General features: G+C 46.8%; 1 pseudogene across 1 annotated transcript in view, besides 4 other annotated features; it reads right to left on the reverse strand.

Annotated features, from left to right (window-relative positions):
* Positions 1,389-2,074: an enhancer, noted in NCBI's record as "H3K27ac hESC enhancer chr19:28913828-28914513 (GRCh37/hg19 assembly coordinates)". NCBI's record gives its function as "activates a minimal SCP1, AML or CMV promoter by ChIP-STARR-seq in naive H9 embryonic stem cells {active_cell/tissue: H9 hESC(naive)}" and the evidence as "EXISTENCE:reporter gene assay evidence [ECO:0000049][PMID:30033119]".
* Positions 4,282-4,801: an enhancer, noted in NCBI's record as "H3K27ac-H3K4me1 hESC enhancer chr19:28916721-28917240 (GRCh37/hg19 assembly coordinates)". NCBI's record gives its function as "activates a minimal SCP1, AML or CMV promoter by ChIP-STARR-seq in primed H9 embryonic stem cells {active_cell/tissue: H9 hESC(primed)}" and the evidence as "EXISTENCE:reporter gene assay evidence [ECO:0000049][PMID:30033119]".
* Positions 4,802-5,320: an enhancer, noted in NCBI's record as "H3K27ac-H3K4me1 hESC enhancer chr19:28917241-28917759 (GRCh37/hg19 assembly coordinates)". NCBI's record gives its function as "activates a minimal SCP1, AML or CMV promoter by ChIP-STARR-seq in primed H9 embryonic stem cells {active_cell/tissue: H9 hESC(primed)}" and the evidence as "EXISTENCE:reporter gene assay evidence [ECO:0000049][PMID:30033119]".
* Positions 6,030-6,324: a silencer, noted in NCBI's record as "tiled region #924; K562 Repressive non-DNase unmatched - State 14:Gen5'". NCBI's record gives its function as "represses a minimal TATA promoter and a strong SV40 promoter by Sharpr-MPRA in K562 cells {active_cell/tissue: K562}" and the evidence as "EXISTENCE:reporter gene assay evidence [ECO:0000049][PMID:27701403]".
* The window catches only part of LOC100420587 (SHC binding and spindle associated 1 pseudogene), a 292,307-nt pseudogene continuing 286,950 nt past the window's right edge, over positions 13,856-19,212 (reverse strand). Inside the window, exons 8-10 of the transcript NR_110759.1 lie at positions 15,953-16,186; positions 15,384-15,602; positions 13,856-15,283 (exon numbers count right to left, since the gene is read on the reverse strand). The product of NR_110759.1 is annotated as an SHC binding and spindle associated 1 pseudogene (transcript). The remainder of the gene's footprint in view (positions 15,284-15,383; positions 15,603-15,952; positions 16,187-19,212) is intronic.

The raw sequence follows: 19,212 nt of genomic DNA on the forward strand, positions 1-19,212 counted from the left end.
AGGGCTGGGGTGATCACTGCTGCGGCAGGGGCCCCACCATGTGACAGAGAGGCCCACGGTGGGCGTGGGGTCTACGGAGCAGTTATAGCTCCTGTCCCTCCAGCCACATCTTTATTCTGAGTTCAGCCCAACCTTTTCCATGAAGTTTCTATAAAGTTCTTCTGTCACCAGGACAGAAGTTTCTGTGTTTGACCTGGGGCAGATGAATCAGGCAGGAGGACTGAGGAAGACATCAGGGTTCTCCAGCCACCTTATGGGGGCTCCTGTGAAACAGGAATGGGGATCAACATGTCCCCCCACCTCCTACCCTGGATTGATAAGGGAATCACCTCTGGTTGTCACATGTCATACAGAGGATGCCTCCTCACTGAGATACCGGTGGAGGGTCTTGACTGCCAGGTTCTTGGCATTTTGAACAAAGAATTGGACAAAACGCACAGCAAAGCGAGGAAATAATGAGGCAACAAAAGCAGAGATCTATTGAAAATGAAAGCACACTCCACAGGGTGGGAGCGGGTCTAAGCAGCGGCTCAGTGGCCTTGGTTACAGGATCTTCTGGGGTCCAAATACCCTCTAGAGGTTTTTCTTTGTCCACTTGGTGTACACCCCATGCAAATAAAGTAGTAGTCTGTCATTAGTGTGATTGGTTGTGGAAAACAACCAATCAGAGGCTGAAGTGAAGTTACAAAGGTCACGTTCTATGTAAACATCTGATTGGTTGTGGAAAGCAACCAAGAAGCTGAAGTGAAGTTACAAAGATTAGACTCTATGCAAACGTCTGGTTGGTTGTGGAAAGCAACCAGTCAAAGGTACTTTTAATTTTCCATCTGCCATGAAGAAAGTAAGTCCGCGTGGTGACGGGGGAGGAGGGGAGGTGAAAAGGGAGTAACCTCTGGTTCTTTTGTTACTTAGGTGTGGAAAGTTGGGGTTTTCCTTTTGATACATATATTTTTTGCTTTTTAATAAGCTTTTTTTAGATCAATTTTAGATTTACAGAAAATTACAGAACTAGTGAAGAGTTCCCACATACTCCACACCCAGTATCTCACACTGTTAATATCTTATGTTAAAATGGCACATTTGTTACAATTAGTAAACCTATATTGATATATTATTATTAACTGAAGTCTACATTTTTTTCCAATTTCCTTAGTTTTTAACCTAATGTCCCCTTTTCTGTTTCAGAATCATTTGATTTAGTTCTAAAAAGTCAGCATAAATCGGCCTTAGGTTCCCTGTCTACAGCCCCTATTCTCCTGCCTCAATTGTGGCTCAAATACAGAGAACCAGGTTCCCAGGCCATTCAAAAGAAAACAAGCTAGCTAGGCATGGTGGCTTTTGCCTTTAATACTAGCACTTTGGGAGTCTGAGGCAGGAGGATAGCTTGAGGCCAGGAGTTTGAGACCAACCTGGGCCATGTTGCAAGACCCCCATCTCTACAAAAAATTAAAAATATTAGCCAGGCATGCTACAGGTGGCATGCACCTGTAGTCCTAGCTACTCAGAAGGCTGAAACAAGAGAATTATTTGAGCCTGGGAGTTCAAGGCTGCAGTGAGTTATAACTGCAGCACTGCACTTCAGCCTTGGCAACAGAATAAGACCCTGTTGAAAGAAAGAGAGAGAGCACCAAAGAGAGAGAGAGAGGGAAAGATAGAAAAAGAGAGAGACAGAAAGAAAGAGAAAGAGAGAGAGATAAAAAGGAAAGAAAAGAAAGCACACTACACGTGGTAGGATGGGGCACTCACACTCTAGGTTGGCGTGGGCTCAGACTCTTATGCAGCACAGTCATAGCAGAGGGATCCTGCCACGTCCCCTGGAGCTCCTTTGTGGATTTTGCACCACCTCGCATCCATTCGCGTTTCTCCCTGAAGGGAGGAATTTCTTAGTAGCTGTCTCTCTACTTCCCTCCACCATGCTCTTTAGAAGGGATCCAGCCCACATTCCAAAAAGGAGCCTGGCCATCTGCATACTGAAGGGGAGGGCATGTGACCCAGGCTATCCCATCACAGTGAATCCCAGGAACTGGGCAGAAGCAACTAGGGTCAAGAGAAGTTTTCTCTTTTTTTCTGAGGCTAAGACCAGAATGGTGGTGCTAAGACTAGGAGCAGATCTGTATCATAAAAATTGTTTATTTTACTTATCTTCCTTACTCTTTGTCCTTTTCTCCCTCCACAGATTACTTGCACGTACTCATTTTAATAGAGGGCAGTCACTCATAATTGATTAACTGCATAGCTGGACTCCTGGGTGCTGGTCGCAAGAGTAATCTTTGATTTTCTTTAGAAGAACAATGATCCTTAGGTCATGCAGACCTCCTTAATGGTATCTGGAAGTTTGATTGACTGAGGGACACGAACAGCTTCGGTCACCAGGAATCTCACCTCCTGCATACCTCCCTTACACATCAAAGCCCCAGTTGTGTTCAAAGACAAGTCAGATTGGAGTTTGCCTCTCCCAATCTCACACTTTGGTTGAATCAAATAAACCTTTCTCTCCTCCTAAGCACTGGTGTGTCAGTGTTTGGCTAACTGCGCATTGAGTACTTGAGTACTGGAACCTAGCGTCTGGGATCCTGCAAGACTAGAACCTACGTCTTCCGGCTGCCAGCAACACCTCTTCCTCTCCATGGAAACAGATGACTTCCTGCAATTCCAGACTCAACCTTTGGAAGACAAAGACCAACCCTGGGTGGCCCAGATTCCTTAGTGACTTTGGAAAGTTAGCGCCCAGCTTTTAGATCTGGAGACCAAGGAAGATAGAGCAAGCTGAGAGTAACATTCATTCACACACACACATACACACATGCACACGCACACACACACACACACACACCAGGCTTGAGGAAAAGAATCCCATGAGAAAAATAATTGCAAGACAGGCTTAATAGCTAACATTGACTGAGTGCTTAGTCTTTGCCAGGCACTCTGCTCAGCCATTTTACATGCATTTTTTTTTTAATTCTCAATAACCCAGTGATGGGAGCTATTACTGTACCTGTTTTACACATGAAAAACTGAAGCTCACAGACACTGAGCCCTTTCCCCAAAGCTGCACAGCTACTGAATGGTGTGGCCAGGCTGTCTGACTACAGACCCCACGCATATTTTTTCTTTTACAGAAAGAATAAATAGAAATCATTTGTTGAAATAGCACATTATAGACAACTTCCTGAGTTGCAAATTTTACCCCTCTTTTACTCAGAGATACTTTAAGACTTCTCTTTTAAGGATTTTAAGTTGCTTAGAGTGGAGCTTGTTAAGCTGTACACACACGTGAGTCACTGGGGATCTTGTTAAAATGCAGATTCTGATTTGCAGATGGGGATGCCCTGAATTCTTGGTCTCTGAGGCCCTCTCAGGTGGGATCTCTGATGGTGGTCTACACACACATCCTAACACAACACTCACACACACACGTACCGTAGTGCCAATACTGGGAGACTGAAATTCTATATTTTATATGCGCACCTAAGCTTCCTCAGAAAAAGAAAGAAATGCAAATACTTCATCACTAAGAATTTAAAGGAGCACATTGTGGCTTCCAGCGTCAGAAGCAGGAACCATTAATCTAGTGGGGATGACAGGAAATGAAATGTAAGAAAGCTGATTAGCAGCACCTTTAAAAATTAGACAGCTCAGCTCCAGAAAGGGAAATAAAAGTTTGGAATCTGAGCTTTCCCTGGCATAAAAGGGCAGAATAGCTCTTTTCAAAATCTCGAGTGACTTTTAGTTGTTTTGTTGTTGTTGTTTTCTCATCACCTCCTTAAAATCAGCTCTTACACTGCCTCTTGGGGGTGCAGATAATCCGAGCAGACTTGGACTGCTGCCATGAATACACAGTCTCACTCCTTTGCTGCTCCTCAATATTTTATTTTCTTTCCTGTGGAGAGGTCGGCGAAGGTGAGGTTGTGCTGCTGGTGATTAATTGTGGTAATAAACAGGGTGAGAGAAAGAACTGGAAACGCGAGAGGGGTTGGAGATTTATCTGAAAACATGGATCCTGGGTAAATAACGGGATGACTGTGAGATGATTACAGGCTGAATTGTGTCCTCCCCAAAAGATATGTGCATACCTCAGTGATATTGCGAGTTTAGTTCCAGACCATCAAAATAGAGTGAGTCACGCAAACTTTTTGGTTTCCCAGTTCATAGAAAAGTCATGTTTACACTATACCGTAGTCTATTAAATGTGCAATGCCATTAGGTCTAAAAAGTGTACTTACCTTAACAAAAAAAATACTGCTAAAATTCTGACACAGAGGAAGAAAGTAAGCATATGCTTTTGGAGAAATGGCACCGATAAGACTTGCTCAATGTGGGGTTGCCATAACTTGTAAAAAACACAGTACCTGTGAAACCCAATACAGCAAAGCACAGTATAAGGACATCTGCCTGCGGTAGAGATTTCAGCTCCTAGGGCCACAGAGTGCACCTTTGGTTGGGAACAGGGTCATTGCAGATGTAACTAGTTAGGATGAGGTCAGACTAGAATAAGGTGGGCCCTAATCCAAAATGACTGGGGTTCTTATAAGAAGATGACCTTGTGCCGGGCATGGGGGCTCATGTCTGTAATCCCAGCACTTAGGGAAGCCGAGGCAGGCAGATTGCTTAAGCTCAGGAGTTCAAGACTAGCCTAGGCAATATGGTGAGACCCTGTCCCTACCAAAAATACAAACATTAGCTGGGCATAGTGGCATGCACCTGTAGGTCCAGTGACCAGGGAGGCTGAGGTGGGAGAATCACTTGAGAGGAGGCAGAAGTTGCAGTGAGCTGAGATCGTGCCACTGCACCCTAGCCTAGGCAACAGAGCAAGACTCTGTCTCAAAAACAAACAAGCAAAAAGAAGATGGCCACGTGAAGTTGGAGGCACAGGAAGGACAGCCATGAGATAAAGACGGCAGAAACTGGAGCCCTGCAGCTGCCAGCCAAGGAACAGCACAGATTCCCTGCAAACTGGAAGAAGCCAGGAGGAGGCCAGGAAGCGTTCCCTGCAGAGTTCAGATTGGCCACGGCCCTCCCAACACCTTGATTTTTGACTTCTGGTTTTCAGGACACAAGATGATAGATTTCTCATGTTGAAGCCGTTTAGTTTGTGACACTTTGTTATTACAGCCCTAGCAAGCTAATACCATGAGGTTATCTTTCCACCTCTGACAAACTCCTAAATCCCCCTCCCAGGCCCTCCTCTACACTCACACCCCTCACCCCCCACCCCCCACCACCACAGTGATTGACCAAAAGGGAAGCAAGGAATGGGGCCAGTGTGGGAGGCAGTCAAGCAGAGCTTCTCGCCTCCAGTGAGGAGGCAGTGTAGGGAAGACACTGAAGAGCCTCGCAAGGCCCCACCTCCAGTCCAGCTGAGGGGCCTAAGGACAGGAGGGTGGGAGGGGTGGAGGGTAGAAGGGGAGGAGGGGAGGAGAGTGGAAAGGGGCAGGGGGGAGGGGGGAGGGTGCGAGGGGAGGAGTTGGGGAAGGAAGGAGGTGGGGAGGGTAAGAGGGGAGGAGGGCAGGCTCAAAGATGCTTCCCGCCTGCTGTCATCAGTGAGTCAGAGCACCAGAGCCTGAAAGGGGATGGGAACTGTAGGGCTGAGTTTGACTTTGAGCCAGAATTGACACCCCAGGGCCAAGAGCCTCTCACCAGGTGCCTGGAGATCTAATGAACAAATCAAGGAGGCCCCTAAGCAATAGAAGGACTGGAGATTTGGGGATGGTGAAGCTGAGGCTATAGAGTCCCACAGTGGACGTGAGGGGACCCTAAGGGATTACCCTTCTCTGAGTTCCCTGTCCTCCATGCCTTTATATTCCTAAAAAAGCACTAAAATCCTGGTATCCTCTGAGCCGAAGGCTCAGTTTTCCATCCCATCCCCAAGCCTCGTGGAGGCCGGAACTCAGCTACTGTTGGTTTATGCACTACTCATCAGCTCTCGGCATCTGTCCCACAGGCTGGGCAGCTCCGGGACACTGCCTGGCAGCAGGGGCTGTGATTCCAGCTGGAGTTTAAACACACACCCTCCACCAGTGCTCTCCAGCAAACAAGGACACCCATCCTCATACTCCCACCTGGAGACACTCGCACAGCACCACAAACATTCCCACACACACGGACACACCCATTCTCCAACATGCAGAGCCACACACCCTCACACAGACTCACACATGCAGCACAGTCACACACACTCAGCGTGGGTTCATAGAGCAGCCACCCTTGCTCAGAGACACAGACACACGTACACCCACAGCCACGTTCTCCAGGGCAGAAACAGGCGTCCCCTCTCCCTCCCTCTCTCAGACACATGCAGGACTCAGGAAATCCACAAAGGCCTTCACAGCAGAGCTGGGAGATTTTATACATCAAGGTCCTCAACTTCCAAACAGAACTAATTCATGCCACAAATAAAACAGTTACAGACAAATCTGCCTAGTGTGGAGTTCTACTTGGTGTTGGGTTTTGAGGAGGGTCACATGGCTCCTTCTCTTCAGGACCCCCACTTCTGGGAAAGCCTCCAGGCCATGCCCTCCTCACTGGGACAGGCAGGACCCTGCCTCCCCATCCTCTGAGCCTCAGGGCACCGAATGTCCACATCCCTCACGAGGCGCTTAAAACCAGAGAGAAATCCCGGCCCTCACCACCACACACCAAAGACAGACGAGAGAGGGAGGCCGTGAGAGGGGACCCCAGGGCAGTCATGATTAAATGTGTGGACACTGCCCTCCCCAGGGTTCCTGGAGGGCATCACATGGGGAGGGACCCTGGGTGCCAGCTGGTGAAGAAAAGGGTGCTTCCAGCCGGGCTCCAGTATGACATTGTCTACACTTGCATTCATCATCACGTGAAGGCTCAGACCCCTGGCTACATTGCCATTGCACCTAGCCCAATAATTATTTTATGTAGAAAATTAGTGTGTGAGCCAACTATGCATTTAAACAAAGCTCCATTTGAACACCAGATCTGTTTTCCTATAAATACCAGTATGCAACTGCTAAAACAAAATAGTAGGTCCTCTGTGCCATCTAGTAGCCTCTGTGATGGGAACTATTAGCACAAGAAATTCTAGGTTGGCCGCTTGGTGCTAACTGTGAAAGGGTGAAGGATGGGATCTGACATGCGCCAAGTTTCCAGCTGCAAACACCAGCACATTGTCAAAATGTGTTTTGTGCTTCTCCATCCTTCCATCACTCTTCCTAATGACAAAAATAATTAACACGTTCATATAAAAGCACAGAATGAATGGGAGTCCTAATTTATCCACCTATTTCAGGGTCATGCCTTTATCAATATATGACAAGTTAATGGGTCTTAATTAAAAAAGCAGCAGTAAAGCAATTTAGGAAACTGAAGGGTTATTATGAGTCATCACTGTGACAGCATGTTTTGTGCACCATGGAAGATAACAGATTTGCTTTCCATAGTATCACAGATCCATCATCCTGAAACTACTTGCTCTCGGTTGCAGAGAGCCATTTTCTTCCCTTTAAAAGAAGTGCATGAGCTGGTGGCTGCTTCCAGAGTGACAGCAGCAATGCATGATAGGAACCAGGAAGGCTATGGGAACCAGCGTGAGGGAGGGGGCAGCAGGCCTGACCACAGGCAAGGGTCAGGGCCCTGGGAGAAAGCATGAGCCAACGGTCAGGACAGGACCGCACATCAGGGTCGTTCCCAACCTGTTGCTCTTTCCCACCAAAAAACTCAGTAGTTTTCTAAGGACTGTCAGGATCCTCCCCCTCCACCCCGCCATGGCCACACTTCCTCCAGGTTCCTCTGAGACCTTTCCAGGTGGGCTTCAGCCTTGACCTATAGAGACTTGAACAAACACTCACATTGTTTCCAATGGTGCGAGGCCGCATTCCCTAAGATGACACTAGTCCTCTTCATGTGCCCGCATGAGAAAGCTCAAGGCTGCTAAAATAAGTTACCATTTCTTTCAGCCAACACCTGAAGACAGGGTCTCTGCCTCCCAGCCTCTGTGGGGGTGGGAGTCTAACTTCAACAGGAACACATTAGTAAACCCAGGTGGGTTTCACATGGACCACCCCACTTCCTGCTTTTGTAGTGTTTCACTTCCCTAACTCTGCCAAGCCCCTGCTCCTTCCCTCCCTAACCCATCATTCTCTCATGTTATCCTTTTCTCAGACAGAGTCTTGCTCTGTTGCTCAGGTTGGAGTGCAATGGTGCAGTCATAACTCACTATAGCCTTGAATTCCTGGGATCAGGCAATACACCCACCTCAGCCTCCCAAGTAACTGGGACTGCAGGTGGGTGCCACCACACACAGCTATTTTTTAAAATTTTTTGTTGAAACAAGGTCTTGTTCTGTTGCCCAGGCTGGTCTTTACCTCCTGGCTTCAAGCAATCCTCCCACTTCACTCCCAAAGTGCTGTGATTACAGGTGTGAGGCACTGAGCCTGGCCCATTCTCACTTTAAAATGCCCAGTGACCTCCACAAATCAAAGTTAAGTTCAATTTCTGCTGGGCTCTTTTCCCAGCTGCAATAGTTGTTACTGATTAAAATCTGTCCTTACCACTTTAGCGTTCATCTTTGTTCATCTTTGACAGGACTAAGAAATCTATTTCAGAAATATTTCTAAAATCCAGGTCTTCTTTGTCATTATTTTCTGGCCCTCACCATCTCGTCCCTGGAATGATGCAGAGGCTGCTTCATAGCCAGTCCCCCTACTGATAGCTCATCTTGTCCATGGCCATTTGGATCATGTCCTGCCTTTTTAAAACACCCTCCAATTGCTCCAATTTGCAAAGCAGAAATTAAAAACTGAGCATCTGACAAATGTGTACTTTGGCTAACTGTGCCTTTGTCATGATGTTAAATATTTTCCCTAAAGATGGGGTCTCACTCAGTTGCCCAGTCTGTAGTGCAATGGTGCAATTACAGCTCACTGCAACCTCAACCTCCCTGGCTCAAGCCATAATCCCACCTCAGCCTGCCAAGTAGCCGGGACCACAGGGGCACTGCACCACACCCAGCTAATATATCTATATATATATGGTTTTATTACCAACAAAAGCCCTTTGGAAAGCTGAGGAGGGAGGATTGCTTCCCGTCAGGAGCTCAAGACCACCCTGGGTCTTCCTATGTTGCCCAGGCTGGTCTTGAACTCCTGGGATTACAGGTGTGAGCCACTGGAATTCATTATAGGTGGTCTTGAATTCATTTCATGGGTAATTGAATGATTTTGCATAAAACTGTAGATTTCTTGCAAGACTGGCCTACAGTCCTGAATGGCAGCATTGAAACAGACTGATCCCATTTAGGCAGTGTGTGCACTCACCAGGTGGCCCAGTTCCCACCACTCCCTGCTACCCTTCACTATCCTCAGTTACGAACCTGCTGGCCCCATAGGCATCAGCGTTTGCCAGCCATCACAAGTAGGAGAACTGAGGCTGGAAAAATGGAAAATGAGACCCCAGGACACAGAAGGGTTCTAAGGAAATGTGAAGATGTTTCTTGCTAGCAAGGAAAACAGTCTCAGGGACTGAGCTGAACTCACAGTTCAGTGCCCACAGTGAGTGCAGTGAGAGGTGCATCTCCAGAGAAAAGCAAAGGCCACAGGAAAAAATGCAGGCTCAGGGCTCCTGGTGCCCCGTGTTTTGTCACAGAGTAAGAAGCCAAGCCTTCCTACAAAGAAAGGAAACACAGCACGTCTCCTCAGAACTAGCCCATCTTTAAACTTGACCTAGATGGCATTGCTCAGGGTGGCCCCTTGGAAATCCATGAAAGCCAGAAAAGAGGCCAAGGAGGAACATGGCATCTCTCACTTTCCCTGCCGTGCTTTGAGTATTGAAATGTCTGGGCAGGAATTCCTTTGAAATGCCTGAATCAGAGAGTGGATTTGCAAACCAAGTTTCTCCTTTATTTTTAAAGACTTTTAGCCTGACTTTTACTTTGAGAGTCAGGGACACGTGGAACATAAATTCCGGGTCCAAGAGTCATGTGATTCCTGGCCAATGGGAAACCACAATGGTGCCTCCCAGCCCTGGCTCTTAACAGCACCACTGCGCAGCTGAGCCAGCCTCAGAAACATGCGTTACCCTCCCAGACATGAGCCTCTGTGTGCCGCTTCTCCCCTCTGTCAAGTCGTGTCTTCTTATATTAATAAGAAAAATAAAATGAAATAGTGGTAAAGTGTTGGAGTGGCGAAAATTTTTGGGGATGGTATGGAGAGATAATGGGCGATGTTTCTCAGGGCTGCTTTGAGTGGGATTAGGGGCGGCGTGGGAACCTAGAGTGGGAGAGATTAAGTTGAAGGAAGATTTTGTGGTAAGGGGTGATATTGTGGGACTGTTAGAAGAAACATTTGTCATTTAGAATGATTGGTGATGGCCTGGATACAGTTTTGTATGAATTGAAAAACTAAACGGAATAAGAGAAGGAGAAAAACAGGTATTAAAGGTCTAAGAATTGGGAGGACCCAGGACATCTAATTAGAGACTGCCTAAGGAGATTCAGCATAGTCCTACCAGCAAAGATTATTTATTTACTTCAAGAGTTAAGAGTGGCAGTTTGGGGATAGCACCAGGAAATATCAGCTGTGATGGCTTGGAGAAACAGTGTAAACCGGCAGTGTAAACAAGAGCAGGGCATGTATGAGTAGTTGAGAATGGTGAATAGGAGTTTGACTAGACAGAAGATAGTAGGGATGACATGATCAGCAGGGAGACCATGTCATGTGTTTTTATGGGAACTATGCCAAGATAGGTAACAGATGAGGATGAAATTTGGGCTTGACTGAAGTAATGGGGGCTGTCTGTGAAGTCTTGCAGCAGTACAGCCTAGGTAATTTGCTGAGCCTAATGGGTGTCAGGGTCAGTCCAAGTGAAAGCGAAGAGAGGCTGGGTATGAAGGGTGCAAAGGAATAGTAAAGAAAGCATGTTTGAGATCCAGAACAGAATAATGGATTGTAGAGGGAGGTATTGAGGATACGGGAGTATATGGGTTTGGCACCAAAGAGTGGATAGGCAAAACAACTTGGTTGACAAGGCGCAGATCCTGAACTAACTTGTAAGGCTTGTCTGGTTTTTGGACAGGTAAAATGGGGAAATTGTAAGGAGAGTTTATAGGCTTTCAGCGAAGGGAGATAAGGGTGATTAGGTTTTAATGAGATGGTAAGGGGTGCATGATCGGTCACCAAGGAGGGAGTAGAGGTATCCTATACTTGTGAGTTAAGGTGGGGGGATACAAGAGGAAGACGCAAAAGAGGCTTTGGATTGGGAAGAAGGGTGGCAATGAGGTGTGGCTGTAGCCTAGGAATAGTCAGGGAAGCAGATAATTTAAAGTGTCTGGGCCTAATAAGGGAACTGGGCAGGTGGGGATAACTAAAAAGGAGTGCTTAAAAGAGTACTGTCTAAGTTGGCACCAGAGTTGGGGAGTTTAAGAGGTTTAGAAGCCTGGCTGTCAATACCCACAACAGTTACGGAGACAATGGAAACAGGCCCTTGAAAAGAAGGTAACGTGGAGTGGGTAGCCTCCATATTGATTAAGAAGGGGACGGACTTACCCTCCACTGTGAGAGTTACCTAAAGCTCGGCATCCATGATGGTCTATCGGGCTTCTGAGGCGATCGGGCATGTCAGTCTTCAGCCACTAAGCCGAGAAGATCTGGGAAGAAGTCAGTCAGACAGCCTTGGGCCAGAGTTCCAGGGGCTCTGGGAGTGGCTGCCAGGTGAGTTGAACAGTCCGATTTCCAGTGGGGTCCCCCACAGATGGGACATGGCTTAGGAGGAATCCCGGGCTGCGGGCATTCCTTGGCCTGGTGGCCAGATTTCTGGCACTTGTAGCAAGCTTCTGGGGGAGGTGGTGCTGGAGGAATGCCTGGCCACTGCGGTTTAGGCATTTGGAAATTCTTGTGTGCTGGAGATGTGGCTGGGGTTTGTCTCATGGTGGAGACAAGGAATTGCAACTCAGAAATATGTTACTACTTGGCTGCCTCTACTCTATTATTGTACACCTTGAAGGCAAGGTTAATTAAATCCTGTTGTGGGGTTTGAGGGCTGGAATTTAATCTTTGAAGTTTTATTTAATGTCGGGAGCAGATTGGGTAATAAAATGTATATTGAGAATAAGATGGCCTTTTGACCTTTTAGGGTCTAGGGCTGTAAAGCATTTCAGGGTTGCTGCCAAACGAGCCATGAACTGGGCTGGATTTTTATATTTGATGAAAAAGAGCCTAAACGCTGTCTGATTTGGGATAAAGAAAAAGGAGCATTAACCTTGACTATGCTTTTAGCTCCATCCACCTTTTTAAGAGTAAATTGCTGGGCAGGTGGGGGAGGGCTAGTCAAGGAACGAAACTGTAAGCCGGACTGGGTGTGAGGAGGCGAGGTGATAAAAGGATTACAGGGTGGAGGAGCGGAAGCTGAGGAGGAATTGGGACCTAGCTCAGCCTGGAGAGGAGGGGAGAGGTCAGATGGGTCTGTAGAAAAGGAAGATTAGAAAGACTCAGCGACACTTGGGGTTGGGACTGAGGGGACAGGTGGGAGGGAAAGAAGGAAGATTTGGGACGAGTTGCATTGGGAACAGAGACTAGGGAGGGACCAATGTGTAAAAGAATGCCTGGACGTCAGCACCTCAGACTGTTTGCCTATTTTACGACAAGAATTATTTAGATCTTGTAGGATGGAAAAATTGAAAGTGCTGTTTTCCGGCTATTCGGAACTACTGCCAAGTTTGTATTGGGATCAAGCGGCATTGCAGAAGAAAATAAGGCATTTAGGTTTTAGGTCAGGTGTGAGTTGAAGAGGTTTTAAGTTCTTGAGAACACAGGCTAAGGGAGAAGAAGGAGGAATGGAGGGTGGAAGGTTGCCCATAGTGAAGGAAGCAAGGCTAGAGAAAAGAGAGAGTAGAGACATGGAGGGAAGGGGTTCGGGGGTTCTTACCCTCCAGAAAAGTGGGAAAGAGGTGGGGGTGCAGAAATAAGGGGTTGGGGTGCAGAGATAAGAGGTCAGGGCACAGAAATAAGGGATCAGGGCACAGAGATAAGAGGTCGGGCTGTGGAAATAAGGGGTTCTTGCCTCTCCCCCAGAAAAGCGGGACTTGCCTCTAAGGGTGAAGGAGAAGGGGTTGAGAGGTTCTTGCCCCTCTCCCAGAAAAGCGGGACTTGCTGCTGACGGTGAAGGACAAGGGTTTGAGGGGTTCTTGCCCCTCCCCCAGAAAAGTGAGACTTGCTGCTAACAGTGAAGGACAAGATGTTGAGGGGTTCTTGCCCCTCCCCCAGAAAAGTGGGACTTGCCATTAAGGGTGAAGGAGAAGGGGTTGAGGGGTTCTTGCCCCTCCCCCAGAAAAGCAGAGAAGAGGTAGAGACATGGAGAGAAGGGGTTGGGGTTCTTGCCCCTCCCCCAGAAAAGCAGGACTTGCCACTAAGGGTGAAGGACCAAGGCAGGCGTCCCTGTGTGGTCCGACACCTCTGAAACGTGGGTGAATAATCAGAGAGGCATCCCTGCAATGATTAACACCAAGGGAAGGCTGCCTTCCCAGGCCGTGACCGGCGCCGGAGTTTTGGGTCCACAGATAAAACGTGTCTCCTTTGTCTCTACCAGAAAATGAAACGAATTGAAATTAAGAGAAGGGAGAGATTGAAGTGTGGCACCAAGATTGAAAAGAGAAAGAGGTTGAGGGATATTGAGGGAGGTTGGAGAAGAGAGTAAAAAGAGGCTGCTTTCCAGATTTGAAATTGGTGAGATGTTTCTTGGGCTGCTTGGTCTGAGGACCTGAGGTCGTAGGTGGATCTTTCTCATGGAGCAAAGAGCAGGAGGACAGGGGATTGATCTCCCGAGGGAGGTCCCCCTATCCGAGCCACAGCACCAAATTTCATGCGAGTCCCTGTGAAGAGACCACCAAACAGGCTTTGTGTGAGCAACAAGGCTGTTTATTTCACCTGGGTGCAGGCAGGCTGAGTCCGAAAAGAGAGTTAGTGAAGGGAGATAGGGGTGGGGCCATTTTATAGGATTTGGGTAGGTAAAGGAAAATTACAGTCAAAGGGGGGTTGTTCTCTGGCAGGCAGGAGTGGGGGTCACAACGTGCTCAGTAGGGGAGCTCTTGAGCCAGGATGAGCCAGGAGAAGGAATTTCACAAGACAATGCCATCAGTTAAGGCAGGAACCAGCCATCTGGATGTGTACGTGCAGGTCACAGGGGATATGATGGCCTAGTTTGAGCTCAGAGGCCTGACACCCTCCTATGCCTTGCCTGGCCCCTGACTGCCTAGGGACCTGCAGTCTATCTGGTCCTCTGTAAAGCTCTTTTTAGTTCCGTGTAAAACAGCAGGAGAGTAAAATTGGGGTCCAGATGAAACAGAACTATTCAGGCTGATATCCAAGAAGCGCCCTGGCTCCTTAACGTGTTTTCCTTTTCATTGGCCTCTTAGGACTCAGGTTTGCCAAGGCTCAGAAGCAAGAGCCAGGAGTGAATATTGCACATAACAGCGGTGAACCTGGCCTGCTTCTGAGTGTGCAAAAGCCCTTTACACAGGATTTCCTGAGGTCAGCCCAAGCCCAGGCTCCTCACCCTCCCAGAATGCCTCAGCTAGCTGGCAAAACATTGTAAGTGGAAGTAGAGATTTGTCCAGTGTCAAAAATCATTTCACACAATAGCAAGACACACCCTGGGTGGAAGTCACTGCTACAGAAACTGTGCCCTTCCTCCAGTCTTCATCTCGGCACATCTGTGACCACAAACGCTGTCTGTCTAAATTCACATCTTGTTCAATTTTAGATTCATAGTTTTCTCTACTCAAATACTTTACGCTTGTAAGACATGTTGTGTGGAAGTGGGTTAAACTTGTCTTTTAACATCACCAATAACCATCTTCTACATTTTTTTCAGTCATTAATTTGATATCTTCACTAAAAGAAATGCCAGTAATTTGAGGGTTTTCAGAGTAAAGTGCCTTGAGCTCCCCCAGACAGAGAAGAAGCAGAGGTGTCACTGTTATTATTCTGAGCTGATAGGAAACACATCATGGATTGGAGGCAAGGAATCAGCCACCACCTGCCCGGCACGCACATAGAGCAGGTGTTGGCTATAATTGCCTCTAGACTTCCTGCCATGGTCAGTTGAAAGTCAAACCTGTAAATGCTGCCTGACTGCAATAGAACTGGAGTCCACAGACATTTCTGCAACACTGCCTGGTGAAAATATACTGACTGGGTGGGATGAGATGGAGGGCGCGTATGGAGCAGACACGACTGGAATAGCAACCAACAGGCTGTCAGTCTTCACTGCCTTTTCTCGTCTTCCATTTTTTTTGATTCTATGACCAAAAGAGATGACAGACCTGTAAGAAAATGGATTTGGTCATTTCCGGAAGAAGCTTTTTCTTTGATCTGTCTGAGAGCAGGTCAGTAGAAGGTATTTTTGTTAACCTGGATCCTCACCATGGATATTTCCTGAGCTTCTACATGGCAGTTCTATGTTTTAAAGTTCCCTTTGCCGTGGCAGCACAACTGCACACCAGACAGTCACCCTTCTTCCTGAGAGCCACTGTGATTTCACTTCAGGCTCAAGGTGTCCTCAGCAGATCTGAGGGAGGACTAAAACAGATATACACGCTTTGCTTTTCTGCATCACCACCGTTCACAGACTCCCAGGAGCTCCTGCAGTCAGTAGAAAGGAGATCATTCAAGTGGCTTTCACCTAGTACCAAACCCACACAGCCTTCAGACCCAGCCCCTCCAATCTCCCGACCTCCTGGGCACCATCCCTGGCCAACCTGGTCCAGAATGGCCTCCGTCCTCTAGAGGCCCCAGGCACCAAGATCCACACCCTCTATTCCAGAGCATTCTTGGCTTCAAGTTAGGTCCTATTTATCAAACATTTGTCTAGAGAGCAGCCCCAGCACATAAGTGTGTGTGAACCGCAGAGTAGAGGCATGGCCCCTGCTCACTGTCCCCTCTGACTCTGGGCCTGGGTAAGACTGGGCTCCCCAAAAGCAATATAAGTGTACCAGGAATTTTCTATGGTGCTCCTGGGAGAAGTAGGAAGGAGGAGGGAGACGGAGAAATCAAGTAGGGGTGTGATTCAAGCCCCATTCTTGCTTGCACCTGCAGCGTGACTCCCAGTGTGAGCTGAACCTTAGAGCTTGTCCGGACTTGAATCAAAGCAACGAGCCTCAGGTATTGGTGTGGGTCAAGATGGGGAGACATAAACTCCCTGGAGCATCACTTCCAGCTTTCTGCACCTGTGAACAAAGCCCAAAGGTGGGTCACTGAGGAGAGACACAGGTATGGTATTAGTTGCTGAAGAACACAGATGCTGAGGAGTGGTCCTGGGTGGGAGGGGTTGGGCGGAGCAAACACCAGCTTCACGGCCACCTTCATAGGCCAGTCTCCTGCCAGGGGCACGAGACGCTCCAAGGAGCCAGAAATCAGAGCTTTCATTTCCTTTGTGACTCTACCAGGTACTCACAGAAGCAGGAAGGGAGAGGCATTGTTTAAAAAAGCAAACACTTATATAGCACTTACTATATGCCAGGCAATGTTCCAAGCATTTTATAAGCACTAATTCACTTAGTTTCTCAATGTCTCAATTTCCTTATAGGTAAAGTCAAGCTAATAATATTAGCTACTTCACAGGCTTGCAGGGAAGCTAAATAGCCTATGTAAGGTTACAGAGATGATCTGCCAAGAGTTGAACCTGGGCAGTCCAGCTCTGAATCTAAATGCTTAACCAAACCATTAAAATGAGTGCAGGCTCATAGGACCAGACAGACACAGGTGCAAGTCCCGGTTTATGTCAATAAAACTGCATATCATCCACAATGGTTGAACACTCCCACCAACAGTGCAAAAGCGTTCCTATTTCTCCACAGCCTCACTAGCAGCTATTGATTCCTGACTTTTTAATAATCACTATTCTAACTGGTGTGAGATGATTCCTCAAGGATCTAGAACCAGAAATACCATTTGACCCAGAAATCCCATTACTGGGTATATATACCCAAAGGATTATAAATCATGCTACTATATAAACATTCTACTATAAAGACACATGCACATGTATGTTTATAGCAGCACTATTTACAATAGCAAAGACTTAGAACCAACCCAAATGCCCATCAATGATAGACTGGATAAAGAAAATGTGGCACATATACACCATGGAATACTATATAGCCATAAAAATATGAGTTCATGTCCTTTGCAGGGACATTGGTGAAGCTGTAAGCCATCATTCTCAGCAAACTAACAGAGAAAACCAAACACCGCACGTTCTCACTCATAAGTGGGAGCTGAACAATGAGAACACATGGACACAGGGAGGGGGGCATCACACACCAGGGCCTGTTGGGGGTGGGGGGCAAGGGGAGGAAGAGCATTAGGACAAATACCTAATGCATGCGAGGCTTAAAACCTAGATAACAGGTTGATAGGGGCAGCAAACCACCATGGCACATGTATACTTATGTAACAAATCTGCATGTTCTGCACATGTATCCCAGAACTTAAAGTAAAATAAAATAAAAAATTTAAAAAACTGCATATCATCTCTGAGTCTTCACTTTCCTGTTTTTGAAATTGGTTTTTCTTAAAAAACAAAAAAGCCACTAATACCTGTATCTGTGTAAGAAATGTCCAGCAGGTGCTGAAGCCTTGCTGGGAACTCAGTAACTCTCAGGGATCATTACAAAAATCCTCGGTAAAATTGACTGCCTGCAATCTTTGATACAGCAATGCCTGTCCCCAGTAGCTTCCAGTGGCAGATGTGTTATGTGTGTGCATATGAAAAAACTAAACATGTAAAAAAACCCAAATCCAGGCCACCCAGTACATTCATATGGCATTACCCAGGTCTACACCCCTGGGGACAGTCGGCCATGCCTGGAGACATTCTAGGTTGTCACTGCTGAGGGAAGGGTGCTGCTGGCATCTCATGCGTAGAGGCCAGGGATGCTGGTAAACACCCTGCAATGGCACAGGACAGCCCATTCTGTATTCTTTCTTTCCAACATAACAATAATGATAAAAGCAGCTGCCAACACACATATTCAAGGCACAGGTCTGAGTATATTATAAAGGTGATCTCTAAATAACCTATCTCTGAGAAACGATCTCCTTTTAGCCCCTTTACAGTTAGGGAGAGGAGACTTAAAGAGGCTGAGTAATTTTCCAGGATCACACAGCAGACAGGGAAGCTTGGATTTGAATCATTGTCATGCAGAGTCCAGGACTTACACTCTTCACCATTATACATTCGTTCACTAAACTTTCCTAAGTTTGACCACAAATTAGAAGGCAGAAAATGAAAAAGCATGTAACTTGGTAGTTCTAGCAACTGATTTACTTCCATCAAAGGCCCTTTGGTTCTAGAAAGCTTTATCTATGTGTTAACGATAGCAGTATATTAAATTATGGGCTAAGTGTGGTATCAAATTGTAAAATAACCTATGAAATCTAAGCTTTACTTTTTCTCATAGTTATTAATGGCTGGGGTCAGACTCTCTTGGGAGCCCCTCAATTGGAAGAAAGACTGACAAGAACACACACACAGGACTTGAACCAAACCCATGTGAATTCAAAGGGAAGGCAGGTTTATTATCTTTCGCTCCCCAGAGATGAAGTCAGCCAGCTTTTCTGTTCATCACTAGGGAGGATATTAAACACAATTCTTTACACGTGGGGAAAAAAAAATAATTGATTCTGAGAACAGCTTTGGTGAAATGGGACTTTGGTTGGAACAGCACACACATAACCTCTCCAAGACAGCAGGTCATCCGCCCTGGAACCTCACCCTTGGTCTCTGGCTCTGAAACTCTGATCACCTTAGGGAGTGTACTGGCAATGACCAATAGACCAGGACCTTTTGCTGCAAATCTACTAATGTTCCCTAAAGGGTGACCTCTGGTGCTCAAGGTTGTTTCCCACCACAGGGCTGCAGGCTGCCACTCTGCAAAGTGAATAACTTCCTTAGTCAAGGCTGGTGGATACATGAAAACCTGTCATTAAAAGAAACACATGCTGGACTGGTTCTCCTAGAATTAGCCATTTGGAGTCTCCTCGGGAATCATTAAGGGGACATTTTGCCTGACTTTGAAAGCAATCTTTTTTTTTTTTTTTAACAATAGAAAACTACAAAGTACTATACAAAGGGGACTTTGGGCACCATCAGCTCCTCTCAAATCCCCTATGATGAGATTATTACTTAGAATAGCCTAGGCTATTCGACAGCAACATATTAACGCTGAAATCTCAGTGGCTTAAAAAATCT

The sequence above is a fragment of the Homo sapiens genome, chromosome 19 (assembly GCF_000001405.40).
Source record: "Homo sapiens chromosome 19, GRCh38.p14 Primary Assembly".
NCBI lineage: Eukaryota > Metazoa > Chordata > Mammalia > Primates > Hominidae > Homo > Homo sapiens.